Source organism: Homo sapiens, chromosome 12 (assembly GCF_000001405.40).
Source record: "Homo sapiens chromosome 12, GRCh38.p14 Primary Assembly".
NCBI classification, from domain to species: Eukaryota; Metazoa; Chordata; class Mammalia; order Primates; family Hominidae; genus Homo; species Homo sapiens.
The window spans coordinates 109,785,425-109,802,352 of NC_000012.12; the positions used below are offsets into that span (position 1 = coordinate 109,785,425).

General features: G+C 52.1%; 1 protein-coding gene across 16 annotated transcripts in view; it reads right to left on the reverse strand.

The window, feature by feature from the left end:
- Window positions 1-16,928, reverse strand: part of TRPV4 (transient receptor potential cation channel subfamily V member 4) — a 50,312-nt gene that overhangs the window by 2,338 nt on the left and 31,046 nt on the right. For 4 of the 16 annotated variants that reach the window (XM_017019774.2, XM_011538630.3, NM_001177431.1 and 1 more), the window contains exons 5-14: window positions 15,194-15,334; window positions 13,190-13,488; window positions 11,101-11,280; window positions 8,905-9,063; window positions 8,506-8,598; window positions 8,103-8,176; window positions 7,228-7,393; window positions 6,939-7,005; window positions 2,976-3,292; window positions 1,286-1,413 (exon numbers count right to left, since the gene is read on the reverse strand). In XM_017019774.2, the coding sequence (XP_016875263.1) occupies window positions 1,286-1,413; window positions 2,976-3,292; window positions 6,939-7,005; window positions 7,228-7,393; window positions 8,103-8,176; window positions 8,506-8,598; window positions 8,905-9,063; window positions 11,101-11,280; window positions 13,190-13,488; window positions 15,194-15,334 (1,624 nt within the window). Of the gene's footprint in view, window positions 1-1,285; window positions 1,473-2,975; window positions 3,319-6,938; window positions 7,006-7,227; window positions 7,394-8,102; window positions 8,177-8,505; window positions 8,599-8,904; window positions 9,064-11,100; window positions 11,281-13,189; window positions 13,489-15,193; window positions 15,335-16,928 lie in introns of those variants that run through there. The other 12 variants (XM_047429293.1, XM_011538631.3, NM_001177428.1 and 9 more) reach the window with 6 other exon arrangements.

Below are 16,928 nucleotides of genomic sequence, written 5' to 3' on the forward strand. Positions count from 1 at the left end.
TTTGTTTGTTTTAAGGCAGAGTCTTGCTCTGTCCGCCAGACTGGAGTGCAGTAGTGCAATCTCGGCTCACTGCAACCTCCACCTACCAGGTTCAAGCGATTCTCCTGCCTCAGCCTCCCGAGTAGCTGGGATTACAGGTGCATGCCACCACTCCCGACTAATTTTTGTATTTTTAGTGGAGACAGGGTTTCACCATGTTGCCCAGGGTGGTCTCAAACTCCTGACCTCAGGTGATCCACCCACCTTGGCCTCCCAAAGTGCTGGGATTACAAGCACGAGCCACCACACCCAGCCAAGATTTGAGCTTTGGATTCAAACTGAACAGAGGCTGGGTGTGGTGGCTCACGCCTGTAATCCCAGCATTTTGGGAGGCTGAGGTGGGAAGATCGCTTGAGACCAGGAGTTTGAGACCAGCCTGGGCAACATAGCAAGAACCCCATCTCTACAAAAAAATTAAAAATTGGTCGGACATGGTGGCATGAGGAGGCTGAGGTGGGAGGATCGCTTGAGACCAGGAGTTGGAGGCTGCAGTCAGCTATGATCACACCACTGCACTCCAGCCTGAGCAACCCTGCCTCTAAAAACAAACAAAAAATGGAATTGAACTGATCGGATGGCCTAGGAGGTGGGTTCTATTATTGTTCCCATTTCACAGATGAAGAAACTGACTTTGTCTGACTCCAAACATTCTGCTTATGCTCCATGCTGACAACCACTTTACAATGAATGAATCAACTGGAAAGAAAAGATTCATGAAGGGGTTCCCCTAAGAAGCTGGCACTCCCTGTGCCTCTGGAACACGGAGTCATTCTGCAGATGGGCTGGGTGAGGTCTCCAGCCCTGGAAACTGCACATTCCTCAGCTTCCCATTTCACCGAGGGCACTAGAGCTCACCCCACTGTTTGGTAGATACAGGGTGATGCTCTAAAATGAACCCACCATCCAAGTCTCTGCTTCCCCCTGAGCAAGAACAGGGGAGCCTGTGGCGTCCCGATGCGCGTCGGGCACTGGCTGAGCACTTCTCACGTGCTGACCTGTCTAATCCGCACCGCCAGCCTAGGAGCCCGTGAGATCATTGTCTCATTCCACAGATGAAGAAACTGAGGCTGAGAGAGGTGGGCTGACTTGCCTGAGATCGCCTGGTGGAAATGAACTCTGCTCGGGCCTCTTGGGGCCTCAGTGGCTCCAGAAATTGCAATGGGTAGACGACGCTGGAGCAGCAGGGGCCCCGAGCCAGTGGGGACAGTTCCGCCCTGCCATCCTGGCCCCACTGCCCCAGCCTCACCTGAAGCACCACCTGCGGTCAGGAGTGCCGTCCGAGCTCTTGCCCACGGTGACCATCTCCCCAGAGCGGAAGGCCTTCCTCAGGAATACGGGGAAGGAGCGCTCAATGTCCAGGATGGTGGTGGCCCACTGCGGGGAGGGAGGGTCAGGAGGGACATCGGTGAGCCTCACAGCCTGCGCCTGCCGCTCTGGTGGCAGAAATGAGACAACGGGCCAGGGTGGGCCCAGAACTAGGCATTTAGACTCCTACTCCCCACTAGACACAGGGTTTATAAACTCAAATACCCACAGGTGGCAGGCAGGAAAACAAATGGGTGAAACAGGATCAGGTGCAGAAAGGCTGCCGCCCAAGCCCTATCACACTTACACAGCAGTTGCCTCTCAGTGAGGGAGGGGTAGAGACTGGGGAGAACAGGGAGCAAATGCCCACGTGTAAGGGGGCAGCTGCCACTCACCCCACCTGAGGGCTGCCAGGCAGGAATCCGGACCCTGCACTGCCTGGAGCTTCCAACTTTTCAAGAAAAGCCAGAAATCTGGGTTTTCATAGGGAATCTCTTAATTTTTAAATTTTGCAGTTTTTTGTTGTTGTTGTTGTTTTTAATATAATGGTCTGATGCTGGGTGCAGTGGCTCACACCTGCAATCTCAGCACTTTAGGAGGCCAAGGCAGGTGGATAGCTTGAACTCAGAAGTTCAAGACCAGCCTGGGCAACATGGTGAAACCCCATCTTTACAAAAAATACAAAAATTAGCCGGGTGAGGTGGTGCACACCTTAGCCCCAGCTACTCGGGAGGCTGAGGACAGAGAATCACTTGAGCCTGGGAGGCAGAGGTTGCAGTGAGCCAAGATCACACCATTGCACTCCAGCCCACAGGATGCCCAGTTTGCATCCTGTGAGTAATGCCCAGTGGGGAAACTGAGGCCCAATGAAGTAAGCAATATAGATAAAGGTTAAGAGCAGGCCAGAGCTGTTTCCCTCAGACCCAGTCCTGGGAGGACAACCTTGGGCCCTTTTTTCTCACTGCACCATTTTCCTGAAATGCACAGTCAAGGTAAACACGGGTGCTGTATTCCTGGGCCGTGGGGCAGCACTGTTTATTAGGACACCAGGTTTGTAGGCTGCACCTGGCCTGGGAGGGCTGTGATCCCAGGGCCTGTTCTTTCCAGGATTGCATAGAAAGCTTTTGGTAAGTAAAAACTTTCTGCAGCTCCCCGGGCCAAGGCGGCCCCTGTCCCCATTGGTTTCTCCTCTAGGAAGCATGCTCACAGTTGCTAGAAAAAGACCCCCATGAGAATGCTGACATCCCTGTGCTGGAGTGCTAGAGCACAAAAGCTGCCCCTGGGCTCAGCGTGGGACCCCTGCTGAAACGCTGATGCCCACGGAGCACTTTCTGAGCCGGCAGAAGTCACTCAGTCATGCTAGGTGGAGCCGACTGTGTCCTGTGAGCTGGACCACAAGGAGAATCTGAGCCCACTGCTGGCAGCCAGGCAAGAAGCCACCTCAAAATTCACTAGGCAGCTCTGGGAAGTCAGCAGCAGCCTCTGATGCCCATTTTACCGACAGAGAAGTGGAGGGAGAATGAGAAGACACTGCTTGCTCAGAGTGGAAGGCCGAGGAAGCCAGTCGGGTGGGTCTCCTCGGAAGGACGAGGGTGGCTGGTAGAGTGGGGCTGGGGGCCCTGGGGCCTCACCTGCAGCTTCCAGATGTGCTTGCTCTCCTTGGAGACCTGGCCCACTGTCTCGCCCATGAGGGCAATGAGCATGTTGAGGAGCAGCACAAAGGTGAGGATGATGTAGGTCACCAGCAGGATGATGAAGACCACGGGGTACTTGGTGCTGCTCAGCATCTCCAGGTCGCCCATGCCGATGGTCAGCTTAAACAGGTCCAGGAGGAAGGTGCTGAAGGTCTCGCTGTCACGGCACGAGGGGTAAGTGGGCACTGTGCAGTTGGTCTGGTCCTCATTGCACACCTTCATGTTGGCACACGGGTTCAGGAGGGAGACCAGGGCTGTGGGAGGATAGGGGTGGCACTCACTGAGTGTGAGCACACCCACAGAGAGGTGGAGGGTGTCATTCTCATTTGCTGGAGGAGAAAGCTGAGGCCTAGTGAGCGGAGCACGCTGGCCCACACGCTGACCCATGTCACCCTACACATCAGCCAAGCCACACCAGACCCAGGTCCTCCTGATCCCAAAACCTTTGAAGCCTTTCCATAAACTCTTGCTGATAAGGAAGAGGTTATCTCTCTCTCTCTCTCTTTCTTTCTGAGATGGGGTCTTGCTATGTTGCCCAGGCTGGAGTGCAGTGGCTACTCACAGGCTCAATCCCACTACTGATAAGCGTAGGAGTTTTGACCTGCTCTGTTTCCAACCTGGGACAGTTCACCCCTCCTTACACAACCTGGTGGTTCCCTGCTACCGGGAGGGAAAAGGTTTTCAGGATCTAGTCCAGGGAGGGTCTCAGTTTTTCCCACCAGGGGACATTTGACAATGTCTAGAGACATATTTGGTTGTTACAACTGGGGGTGGGGGTGCTACTGGCATCAGGTGGGTGGAGGCCAGGGGTGCTGCCTGACACCCTACAATGCACAGGATGGTCCCCGCCACGAAGAATGATCTGGTCTCAAATGTCAATAGTGTTGGGAAATCCTAATGCGGCCTACCATTCTTAGAGGTCTTGGGGGCTCTGGAATGCCCCTATTCGCAGGGGTAGACTCTCTCTCTGACAGTTTCCCACTCCACCCCAACCCAGAGAGGAAAAGTGGGGGCTGAAACCAGGCATCAGTCCTGACTGTCCCCAAAGCCGTGTTCTCTAAGGGGCCTCTCCTGCTCTAGACATCTCAAACTCATCATGGTTCTCCTTTCCTACTAAGCCCAGGTGGAGCTTCAGATTCCTTCTCAACACAGTTTGGCAGCAACAACCTGTCCCTAAACCAGCCAGGGAGGGGAGCATGAAGAAGACTCAGTCCCATCAGTCAGTGGGGCACAGAATGTCATACTGCCTGCAACCAGGGATTAGAGTATGCAGATTTCAACTCATATGCTAATGTTCTTCAGTTGTATAGTACCTGGTGAAACACTGTGTTGAGAAGGATTCTGAGACCTTGTCTGGACTCACCGGAAAAACTGTTCTGTGATCCATTAGTGATGTCTGCTATGGACACCAAAGTGTGGGAACAGAAGCATGTGTGTCCTGTTTATGTCATGTCAGCCTCAGAATTGAGATCTAGTGCATCCTATAAGGAGAAGACCTGCAACCAAGCTGACTGCTAAGCTGCTACTCTAACCCTTGTTTCTCCTTAGTTTCAATAACTAGGACTGCAGTAGGGCTAGATCCCTGACCTGAATCCCAAACTGTTGTTGAACCCTTGACACTGTCTAGTTTGTCCAGTGTGATCCCTGGGAAGGGAAAGCTGTACCCTGTCCCTATCTCCCCAGTGAAAACTACAATTCCACTTCCCACCAATAATCTACCTAGAGACTTGGCCACTATCGTGGGTTAAAATATCACCCTTGTCAGATTCCTGTGCCAGGCTCGTCCCCAGATGAACCTGCTCAGATGTGTATGTGTCCAGGTCTAACCTGAGTTGGCCATTCCCCTTTGGATGCTGGGCATTGATGTCAGATTACCCACACCTCGGGGATCAGCCCAAGGACTTGGTCAGTTTCTCCAGCCCTGGTCCCTGGTCCTTCTCCCATGACCCATGCCACTGAGGTCCCAGAATGCTTCTTAGTGGCATCATGACATCACGAAGAAGGTATATCAAGGGAGCTGATGTTGGGCTTTAAGAAAATACCTGGGCTGCTAGTTTAATTATTAAATTTTATCCTTCCATGTATCCATCCTCCTTCAATGTGGCTTTACAGCTTCTCCCACTAAGAAGTGGAGTCTAGGCCAGGTGCAGTGGCTCGCGCCTATAATCCTGCACTTTGGGAGGCTGAGGCAGGAGGACTGCTTGAGCCCAGGAGTTCAAGACCAGCCTGGGCAACATAGCAAGACCCTGCCTCCACCAAAAAAAAAAAATGGAAAAAAAGAAGTGGCGTCTATTTCCCCATCCCTTGAATCGAGGCTGGCCTTGTGACTTGCTTTGGCCAACAGAGTAAGGCAGCAGTGATGCCATGCCAGGAGGTGTCCTTGAACACTTCTGCTCATGTTCTTGGAACCCTAAGGCCACCATGTGGACAAGCCCAAGCTAGCTGTCCAGAAATGAGTGACCATGTGGAAGATAGATAGCAAACCCCCTCTAACCAAGTCCATACTAGCTAGACCAGTCAGCCAGCAGCCAGCCTGCCAGCTGACCACAGGCACAAGAGCCTGTAGGGATCAGCCAAACCTGGCCCAGGGCAGCACAGCCACCCAGCTGACCCATTGACTCATAAGCAATAGTAAGTTGGCCTGGTACAGTGGCTCACGCCTGTAATCCCAGCACTTTGGGAGGCCAAGGTGGGTGGATCACTTGGGGTCAGGAGTTCGAGACCAGCCTGGCCAACATAGTGAAACCCCATCTCTACCAAAAATATAAAACTTAGCCATGCGTGGTGGCACACGCCTGTAATCCCAGCTATTCGAGAGGCTGAGGCAAGAGAATCGCTTGAACCCAGGAGGCAGAGATTGCAGTGAGCCAAGAGCACCACTGCCCTCCAGCCTTGGTGACAGAGTGAGACCTTGCCACAAAAAAAATAATAATAATAAGTGGGTGCTATTTTAAGCCCCACTTTAGGTGGCTTCCTTTGTAGCAATAGCTAATACTCCAGTTTTGCCATTCACCAGCTTTTTTTTTTTTTTTTTTTTTGAGACAGAGTCTCGCTGTGTTGCCCAGGCTGGAGTGCAGTGGTGCCATCTTGGCTTACTGCAACCTCCACCCCCTGGGTTCAAGCGATTCTTGTGCCTCAGCCTCCCGAGTAGCTGGGTCTATAGTTGCGCGCCACCATGCCTGTCTAATTTTTGTATTTTTTGGTAGAGACGGGGTTTTGCCATGTTGGCCAGGCTGGTCTCAAACTCCTGACCTCAAGTGATCTACCCGCCTCAGCCTCCTGAAGTGCTGGGATTACAGATGTGAGCCACTGCGCCCGGCCACCATTCACTGGCTTTTGAACTTGTGCTAGTTATTTAACCCTCCTAAGCCTCAGTTTCCTTTTCTATAATAGGGGATAATAAAGGCACTTAGCTTACAGGCTTGTTGGGAGGCAAGGATGGAAACGTACTTAGTCTGGTGCCTGGCACACAAATAAGAACTCAGTGGCCAGGCGCGTTGGCTCACACCTGTAATCCCACCATTTTGGGAGGCCAAGGAGGGTGGATCACCTGAGGTCAGGAGTTCAAGACCAGCATGGCCAACATGGTGAAACCCCATCTCTACTAAAAATACAAAAAAAAAAAAATTAAAAAATAGTGGGGCGTGGTGGCAGGAGCCCGTAATCCCAACTACGTGGGAGGCTGAGGCAGAATTACTTGAACCTGGGAGGTGGAGGTTACAGTGAGCTGAGATTGTGCCATTGCACTCCAGCCCGGGCAACAGGAGCAAAACTCCACCTCAAAAAAAAAAAAAAAAAAAAAAGAACTCAGCAAGGCTGCTATTGTCCCCTATACATCATGGCTACTGTTCCCGTCCTTGCACCACCCCTGCCAGGACCACCTGAGCACCCAGAGCTCACCTGAAGCGTAGCCGATCATGAAGAGCAAGTAGACGAGCAGGAATCGGAAAAGGTCCTTGAAGAGAATCTAAAGACCCCAGCGGGATTATGGAGGCAAAGAGGAGACACATGGTTTCTCACTTTCCCCATTCCTCCATCTCCACCCTGGTCCCACCCCAGTGTCCAGACCATGCCTCCTGCCCCCACGGTACCCAGCATCCTCAGGTCTGCAGGTGCATAAGTGTGCATGTGGTGTGTGTGTGACTCCCTCCAGGAACACACGAGTCCAGAGGGTCCTCCCAGCCCGTACCTTCTGGATCATGATGCTATAGGTCCCCGTCAGCTTCAGCCCACGGGTGAAGTAAAGGGCATTCATCCAGCCCAGGACCAGGGCAAAGACCATCACGGCCAGGTAGGCCTCGATCCCTGCCAGGTAGAGGGCTGCTGAGACGATCACCAGGACAGAGTAGATGAAGCTGCAGTGCAGCAGAGACCACAAGAGAGGCCAGAGGGGAGAGGGGACAATGAGGCTCTGGAGGGGAAGACACGCCTCCAAGCCCTCCAGGGTATCAGGACTTCCCAATGCCTTCTAGACCCCCAGAAAAGAAACAAAGTGGATTAGCAGGGTTCCCCAGCATTCTGTTAACAAGAACATTCAATTAGCTGGCAATTAATCCTGAGGTCCCACAGGATCCTGAAGTGATGCCCCTTGGAATTGCTAAAGAAAGATTTAGTGGTGTTCAGTGGAGATTTTGTGGCTAAGTGAATTTCATCATTCTCCAACTCTAAGGGAAATGTGAAAGAGGTAACACACACTCAGTAACTCTCTCATTCTCTGTCCCAGGCAGACATCATTAATCAATCCCAACTCTTTCCCACTAAACACAGACACAGGTGCAAAATTCTTAACATGGCACTTCAGGCAGACATTAGCAATCATTCACCAGCATAAGAGGTTAAAATTATTTCTATCCATGTTGTATATGATAACTCCCTAGCAATCAGAATTTTTCTTGAACCAGAAGACCCTATTGTTTGTGGCTTTGTCCTGACTTTGGGTTAGAGCTGCCCAGGTTGGGTGCATTCATTTCTAACAGAATCACCTCTCTCCTGAATCTGGACGACCTAGCAGCCCAAACCCACCTTCCTCACCCAGAAGCTGCCGGCCCAGGGACCTCTACTCACTAGAGCAGCTGGAAGGAGCCATCAATGAAGAGAGAATTCACTCCAGGGCATTTCTTCATGAACAAGTCTTTGATCTGGAAGACAGGAGGGGGCACGTGAAAGGGGTGGGGCCAGCAGGAGAGGAGAGGAGGAGAGAGGAGACAGAGAAAGGGATAGAAGAGAGGGAGGCAGAGGCTGGTACAGAGAAAAGACAAAGGACTCTTTCCTGTTAGAAAAGGAGAAAAAAGCAGAGATGGAGAACGTGGGATTGGAGGAGGTAGAAGAGAAATGGGAAAATAAAAGGAGGAAGGAAAGGAGAAGGACCATTTGGAGGAGAGAGAAGAGAAAAAGAGGGAGAGAAAAGAGGTGCAGGAAGAGAAGAGGAGGGCAGGCAGGGTGGGGGGCACGGGGGCCAGGCACTTACGTTGGTGAAGAAGAACAGGACCCCAGTGAAGAGCGTAATGACCTCGCCAGCCAGCCGCAGGTAGTCCACCGTGGTGCGGTAAGGGTACGGCGGCTGGGGAGCAGCAAGGGCACACAGGTCGTCACCCAGCCCCTCCAACATCTGGCCCCCAATCCAGATGTTCCCCCAGGCCCGAAACATCGGCATCCCATGGAGCCTCCTCCTTCACTCTCTTCCTCCTGAGTCTTCCTCCTCCCAGCTCAGGGCCACCCGTGGATGCTGGAGGGCGCCTCCCCAACCTGTTCCTAAACCTTCTCCGGGTCCCCCTACAGGGGACCCAGAAGGATGAGGTTGTGCCCCAGTCCTGCATGGCTCAGCCCAGTGCCTGCCCCAGCCCCTGCCCGGTCCCCGGGCACTCACTGTGCCCTCCAGCGGCTGGTAGTAGGCGGTGAGAGTGAAGATGACCATGGCACACAGGTAGGAGACCACGTTGATGTAGAAGGAGACGGCCCCGAACTTGCGCCACTTGTCCCGCAGCAGTTCATTGATGGGCTCCACAGCCAGCATCTCGTGGCGGTTCTAAGAGAGGCAGGGTGGTCGGGGGCTGCCTTCCTGAGATGGGTGGGGGGTCCAGGCAGGCTGCCTCGGGTGTGCCTTCCCCCACCCTCCACCCGGACAGCGCTTTCTCTTTCCATCCATTCCTCAGCTGCATTCACGGATTCATGAATGGATTCAGCTGCCCAATTCTGCCTCAATGTACCTTTCCACCCTATTCTAGCATCACAGAACTCGGAACTGGAAAGTCCCTTAAAAGACATTTATTTTCAGGCCGGCCGCAGTGGCTCATGCCTGTAATCCTAGCACTTTGGGAGGCCAAGACAGGCGGATCACCTAAGGTCAGCAGTTCAAGATCAGCCTGGCCAATGTGGTGAAACCCTGTCTCCACTAAAAACACAACAATTAGCCGGGCGTGGTGGTGCACACCTGTAATCCCAGCTACTCCTAAGGCTGAGGCAGGAGAATCACTTGAACCTGGGAGGCGGAGATTGCAGTGAGCCTAGATCGCACTACTGCACTCCAGCCTGGGCAACAAGAGTGAGACTCCATCTCAAAAAAGAAAAAAAGACATTTATTCTCATGGTTCCCAAACTCCAATCTGTGGATAGTACCAAGCTGCTGGCCGCAAAATAATTTATGTAACTTGCTGCAAGTATAAATCCTGGCCTCCGCTCTCAGAAATTCTGATTCAGAGAGAAAGATTGAGAAATTTTGCCCAAAGATGATAAATGATTGACTCACCACAATTCTCCAATTCTGAACCCAGGGCAGACATCAATAATTGAGCCCTGCACAATTGTATTCATACAGTTCCCTGGGTAGACACTACTAATCAATCAGTTTGCACCTGAGATGCTAAACCTCCTGCCACCACTAATTTAAATCAAGATGGTCACTAATTCAAAAAATGAGGGAAATGAGGTCTTGCAAGGAAGCCAAGCTCACAGACCAGTAAGCCACAGGGCAGGGCTAGAAGGAAGACCACCTGCACCCAGTCCCCAGCATTTTCTGCTCCATTTTTATAGCTTCCTAGCCCTTTATTAACTTGAGTTTCTCTATAATCATGATTTGTGCAATAAAGCAGCCACAGAGATGCTCTTATAGTGTTATTCCTGATAAAGGCAGAAACAAACCCAAGCGACCAGCAATAAGAGAACAGTTCATTTGAATATGGTATGTTTACATGCAGCGACAATATTACCAAAGAATATTTAAAAGTACAGAACGACGTTCACAAAATACTGCTAAGTAGGGAAAAAAAAGCTTGGTTTTTTGTTTGTTTGTTTGTTTGTTTATTTTGAGACAGGATCTCACTCTGTCACCCAGGCTGGAGTGCAGTGGCATGATCTCGGCTCACTGAAGCCTCGACCTCCCCAGGCTCAGGTGATCCTCCCACCTCGCCTCCCAAGTAGCTGGGACTACAGGCTCGCACCACCATGCCTAGCTAATTTTCATTTTTATTATTTTTTTTTGGTAGAGACGGGGTTTCGCCATATTGCCCAGGCTAGTCTCAAACTCCTGGCTTCAAGCAATCCGCCCACCTTGGCTCCCCAAAATGCTAGAATTACAGGCATAAGCCACCATGCCTGACCGAAAAAAAAGAGCTTTCAAAAGTTCATATAACAACCATGAGTAGTAAAAGCTGACATAATGTTTACTCTGTGCCAAGCCATTCTAAAATTAACCTCTTTGGTCCTCCCAAGAACCCCATGGGATATCCATGATCCTTATCCCCAGGTTACAAATGAAGAAGCTGAGACCCAGAGAGGTGGAGCCACTTGTCCTGAGACACACAGCATGTAAGTTACAGAGCCAGGATCCCAACCCAGTCCTACCTGCCCCAAAAGTCCATCTTCCCACAAGTCTTGCTCATTTCCTCACATGGCAGACACTGTTCTGGGCACTTAGTTGGCACCTTCTCTTGCATTCAGCCAACAGACCCACCACGTTGGGTCCTAGAGGCTGGGGCTGTCTCCCCCAGCCCAGCCCCAGGGCCCTGTCCCTACTCCCAGCCCTGCCCCTCCTTCCTCACACCCCATGCCCCCTCCTGGAGCCCACCTCAATCTTGCTGTTGTACACCAGGATCTCCAGCACGGAGGCCTCTTCCCCACACGTGTCCAGGGAGGAGAGGTCATAAAGCGAGGAATACACTGGCCCATAGGCCCAGTCCTTGAACTTGCGGGACAGGTGCCGTGTGTCCTCATCCGTCACCTCCCGCCGGATGATGTGCTGAAAGATCTGCACAGGGGGCCAGGAGGGTCAGGGGGCTCACACTGGAAAGACCCCCAGGGCTGGGCCCAGCTCAGCACATGACGCCTCCCCAGAAAACAGCTAAGCACCGGCTGCTGGAGGACCCTTTCCTCATCTTGTTTAATTCTTGCTCTTATTATCTTGGTTTACAGATAAAGAATGGAGGCTGGGAAAAACGAAGGGTGTTCCAGAAGCCACTTAACCAGTCAGCTGGAGCCAGACAGAACCTGGATGAGCCTTCAACATCTTAATTGTAATGAATATCTTCTTCATGCCGTTAAAATAGCAATGAATCCATCTTAATGACATGTGAATTATAATACTGACGATCACATGCGGTCCTTCCTGTTACCACTCCTCCTTCCCTGGCTTACACACAGGGAAGCGGAGGCACAGAGAGGGGTGGGAATTGCCCAAGGTCAGGCAATGTTAGGATTTTGGGGTTTTTGTTTTGAGACAGAGTCTCTCTCTGTCACCCAGGCTGGAGTGCAGTGGCGCGATCTCAGCACACTGCAACCCTCTCCTCCTAGGTTCAAGCAATTCTCCTGCCTCAGCCTCCTGAGTAGCTGGGATTACAGGTGCCCACTATCACACCCAGCTAATATTTTTGTATTTTTAGTAGAGACGGGGTTTCACCATGTTGGCCAGGCTGGTCTTGAACTCCTGACCTCAGGTGATCCGCCCACCTCGGCCTCCCAAAGTGCTGGGATTACAGGCATGAGCCACTGTGCACAGCCAGGATTTTGGGGTTTTTTGAGACAGGGTCTGGCTCTGTTGCCCAGGCTGGAGTGCAATGGCACTATCACAGCTCATTGCAGCCTCAACCTCCTGGGCTCAAGTGCTCCTCCCACCTCAGCCTCCCAAAGTGCTAGGATTACAGACACGAGCCACTGAGCCTAGCCAAAGCCAGGATTTAAACTGGAGCCTTTCTACTGCCTCAGGGCCATGGTATAATTGCAATTTTAGTAATTTTTGCTACATTTTTTTTTATTTTGGTTTTTATTTATTTGGGATCTCAAATAATCCAGGCTGGACTTAAACGATCCTCTCACCTCAGCCTCCCAACTAGCTGGCATTACAGACATGTAAGTGACACTTACTGCTTCTCCCAGGCTCCTTCCTAAGAGCCTTATGTGGATCACCGCATTTGTCACAACACCACACCAGAGGACACTCTTATATCCCCATTTTACAGACAAGGAAACTGAGGCACAGAAAAGGGAAATGAGATGTCTGAGGTCACACACTGGGAAGTGGTAGCGCCAGGGCTTGGACAGGTGCTCCTGCCTCTAGCATACTCCAGACTTGGTTCCCAATCCAGCGATGGTGCCCCCCAGAGGACAATTCAGCAATGTTCTGGAGATATTTTTGGTGGTCACAAGTGTAAGGGGAGGTGTTCCTGGCATCTGGTGGGTAGAGGCCCGGGATGCAGATCAATGTCTGGCAATAGCACAAGACGGTCCCCACCACAAAGAGCCTGCCGCCCAAAATAATCATGCTGAAGTTGAGAAACCCTTCTCCAGGCCCCATGCTGCGCGGCCCAGAAAAGGGAAGGAACTGGGGCAGGGCCATTCAACAGGTTTGAGGCTGGGAGCACCGCTGGGCTAGGGCCCGGGGACTCAGTTTCTTATCAGTGGCTCATCCTGGCTGGTGGGGGTGGAGTGGTGAACATCCAGTAGGGTGACATGAGGCGAGAGGCTCGGGGATGAAGCTAAGGAGCTTGGCTGGACACTAGGGAGCCATAGCAGGTTCTTGAGCTGGGACATCTGCACACTGGGGTTGGCATGTTGGGAGGTGCATGCACGTATTAATAATGAATACCAGCAGCAGACCCTCGTGTGTGTGTGCAGAGGGGTACGAGTAGGTGGATCAGCTGTGCCCCCAGCCGCACACTCACCCCAATCTTGCCCGTCTTGGCAGCCATCATGAGGGGCGAGAGGCCGTCGTTGTTGAGCACGGCCTCCAGGTTGCTGTCGGGGAAGAGGCGGGCACACTTGAGCAGCAGCAGGTCGTACATCTTGGTAACAAACTTGGTGTTCTCACGGGTGTTGTCAGCAATGGCCACCAGCGCATGCAGCACTGTGTTGCCTCGCGAGTCCTGGCGCCGCATGTCCGCCTTCTTGTGGGGGTTCTCCGTCAGGTAGTTGACAATGTGGGGCTGGTTGGTGCAGGCAGCCAGCGACAGGGGCAGCTCCCCTGCGGGCCAGGGTGAAGGGTGGGAGGTCAGCGAAGGGGGCCCAGGGTGGGACTCTGCCTGCAGACACTCGGGGGACGGACACCGTGGCGCTCTGAGGATAATGACGGAGACAGCACCAGCAGTGGATATGAACTGCACGTTTCTCTGGGTGATGCCAGGGAGATGGGGTGTGGCTAGTTAAGGGCACAGCCACGCGATTTGGAGGCTGTGAGGGACTGGACACATCCAATGATGGAATTCTTTTTTTTTTTTTTTTTGAGACAAAGTCTCACTCTGTCGCCTAGGCTGGAGTGCAGTGGCACAATCTCGGCTCATTGCAACCTCCACCTCCCGGGTGCAAGCAGTTCTTGTGCCTCAGCCGAGTAGCTGGGATTACAGGCGCACGCCACCACACCTGGCTAATTTTTGTATTTTTAGTAGAGGCAGGATTTCGCCATGTTGGCCAGGCTGGTCTCAAACTCCTGACCTCAAGTGATCCGCCGACCTCGGCCTCCCAAAGTGCTGGGATTACAGGCGTGAGCCACCGCGCCCAGCTGATGATGGAATTCTTTGTGTGACTTTGTCCCTGAGCTGCACATAATGAATGCCTTTAAGCAGGGGCAAAATTCAAAATATTTCATGAGTCCAGTGATGACAACGGCAGTGGTGGGCTTTGGGCCTGGTGATGGGGCTGTTGGTCCCAGCATAAACCAGATTAAAGCACACAGACAATACAGAGCTGGGCGCTGACATCACAGCCCAAGGGCCTCTCGTGATCCCCACTGCACAGCTGGGGAAGGTGAGGCTCAGGGAAGTGAGGTCACATGCCTGGAAAGTGCAGAGTGAGGATTTGGCTTTTTTTTTGTTCTTTTCTTTTTGCTTTTTAAAGACGGGGTCTTGCTCTATTTTCCAGGCTGGAGTGCAGTGGTGCAATCATGGCTTACTGCAGCCTCGAACTCCTAGGTTCAAGTGATCCTCCAGCCTCGGCCTCCCAAGCAGCTGGGACTTCAAGCACATGCCACCATGCCATCTAACTTATTTATTTATTTATTTATTTATTTATTTTTTGAGACAGAGTCTCACTCTGTCACCCAAGCTGGAGTGCAATGGGGAAATCTCGGCTCATTGCAACCTCTGTCCCCCAGGTTCAAGCAATTCTCCTGCCTCAGCCTCCCAAGTAGCTGGGATTACAGGCACCCACCACCATGCCCGGCTAATTTTTGTTATTTTTGTAGAGATGGGTTTCACCATCTTGTTGGCCAGGCTGGTCTTGAACTCTTGACCTCAGGTGATCCACCTGCCTCATCCTCCCAAAGTGCTGGGATTACAGGCATGAGCCACCGTGCCCAGCCATTTTTTAAATGTTTAAAAGAGACAGGGTATTGCTATGTTGCCTAGGCTGGTCTCAAACTCCTGCCCTCAAGCGATCCTCCTGCCTTGACCTCCCAAAGTGCTGGGATGACAGGTGTGAGACACCGTGCCTGGCTGGAGTGAGGATCTGAATCCAGGTCCATGGTACTCCCCATGGCACTTACACCTCAGAGGCAACGGCCCTGTGACCAAGACCAACGTGCAGCCTGTGGTCCAGAGTGCTGCCTGCGCTCATGGCCAGAGTGGCCCTGGGTGTCTGGGTGATGGTCAGGGCTGCAGACACCAACCAGTATCATGCTATCTCCCGCCATGCTTCTCCAGCATGCTGTCAGCCCCCACCAGGCCCCTCCTTACCAAAGTAGAAGTAGCCCCCCTCATCCTTGGGCTGGAAGAAGCGCCCACGGGCCTGGGCGTGGACATCAGCTCCCTGGGCCACGAGAAGTTCCACGTAGTGTTTGCAGCGACGCTCAATGGCGATGTGCAGGGCTGTCTGACCTGGGGGCAGGGGACGGTCATCCAGGGTCCTGGCGGAGCAGAGACCTAGCCAGGCTTGCTGGGGGTGGGGGTAGGGTGCAGGACGTAGAAATTGGGGGGTGGGGGATGCAGGCAGAGTCCTGCCCAGCGACACCCAAGGGCAGCAAATAGGTCCTTGGATATTCCCTGGGATCCATCGCAGAAGCAGAATCTCAAGCCTGAAGGATACCTAGTTTGTGGAATCCTGAATGTGAGAAGTTTTTAGATTCATAAGATGCTTTAAAAATCCTAGAGGAGGCCAGGCGCAGGCTCACGCCTGTAATCCCAGCAATTTGGGAGACCAAGGAGGGAGATCACCTGAGCCCAGGCGTTTGAGGCAAGCCTGGGCAACACAGTGAGATCCCATCTCTATAGAAATGCTAAAAATTAGCTGGGCCTGGTGACTTACACCTGTGGTCCCAGCTACTCCAGAGGCTGAGGCAGGAGGATTGCTGAAGCCTAGCAGTTCAGTACCAGCCTGGGCAACTGATATGGTTTGGCTCTGTGTCCACACCTAAATCTCACCTTGAATTGTAGTTCCCATAATCCCCATGTATCATGGGAGGGACCCTGTGAAAGGTAATTTAATCATGGGGGCAGTTACCCTCATGCTGTTTTCATGATAGTGAGTGAGTCCTCAAGAGATCTGATGATTCTATAAGGGGCTTTTCCCCCTTTTGCTTGGCACTTCTTCTTCCTACCACCATGTGAAGAAGGACATGTTTGCTTCCCCTTCCACAATGATTGTAAGTTTCCTGATGCCTCCCCAGCCCTGCGGAACTGTGAGTCAATTAAGCCTCTTTCCTTTATAAATTATCCAGTCTTGGGCAGTTCTTTATAGCAGCATGAGAACGGGCTAATACAACAACATAGTGAGACCCTGTCTCTACAGAAATTTTAAAAATTAGCCTGGCATGGTGGTCCATGCCGGTGGTCCCAGCTACTTGGGAGGGTGAGGTGGGAGACTCCCTTGAGCCCAGGAAGTCAAGGCTGCAGTGAGCCATGATCACACCACTGCACTCCAGCTTGGGTAACAGAGCAAGACCTTGTCTCAAAAAAAAGAAAACTCCTAGAGGAAACAACAGTACCTTGGCCTCCCAGAATTTTGGACTCAAGATATAATATTCATGGATTTTGAATCTTAATATCCAGGCATCTGAAGGTCAACTCTGATTTACAGAATCTCAACTGGGGATTGGCCCAGTTCTTGGCCCCCTGCTGCCTTTGCCTCTTAGAACTTGTGAACTCAGGACTTATTATCATAGAGCCTTAGAGTATCCGCCACCACAGCATCTTAGGGCCAGATCCCGAGTTCATGATCACTAGACTCGCTGCATCTCAGAATCTTGGAATCTTTTTTTTTTTTTTTTTGAGACAGGGTCTCACTCTGTCACCCAGGCTGGAGTGCAGTGGCACAATCATAGCTCACTGAAGCCTTGACCCTCTGAGCTCAAGTGATCTTCCCACCCCAGCCTCCCAAGTAGCTGGGACTACAGGTGTGCACCAACAAGCCTGGCTTTTTTTGCATCTTTTTTTTTTTTTTGAGATGAGTCTTGCTCTTGTTGCCCAAGCTGGA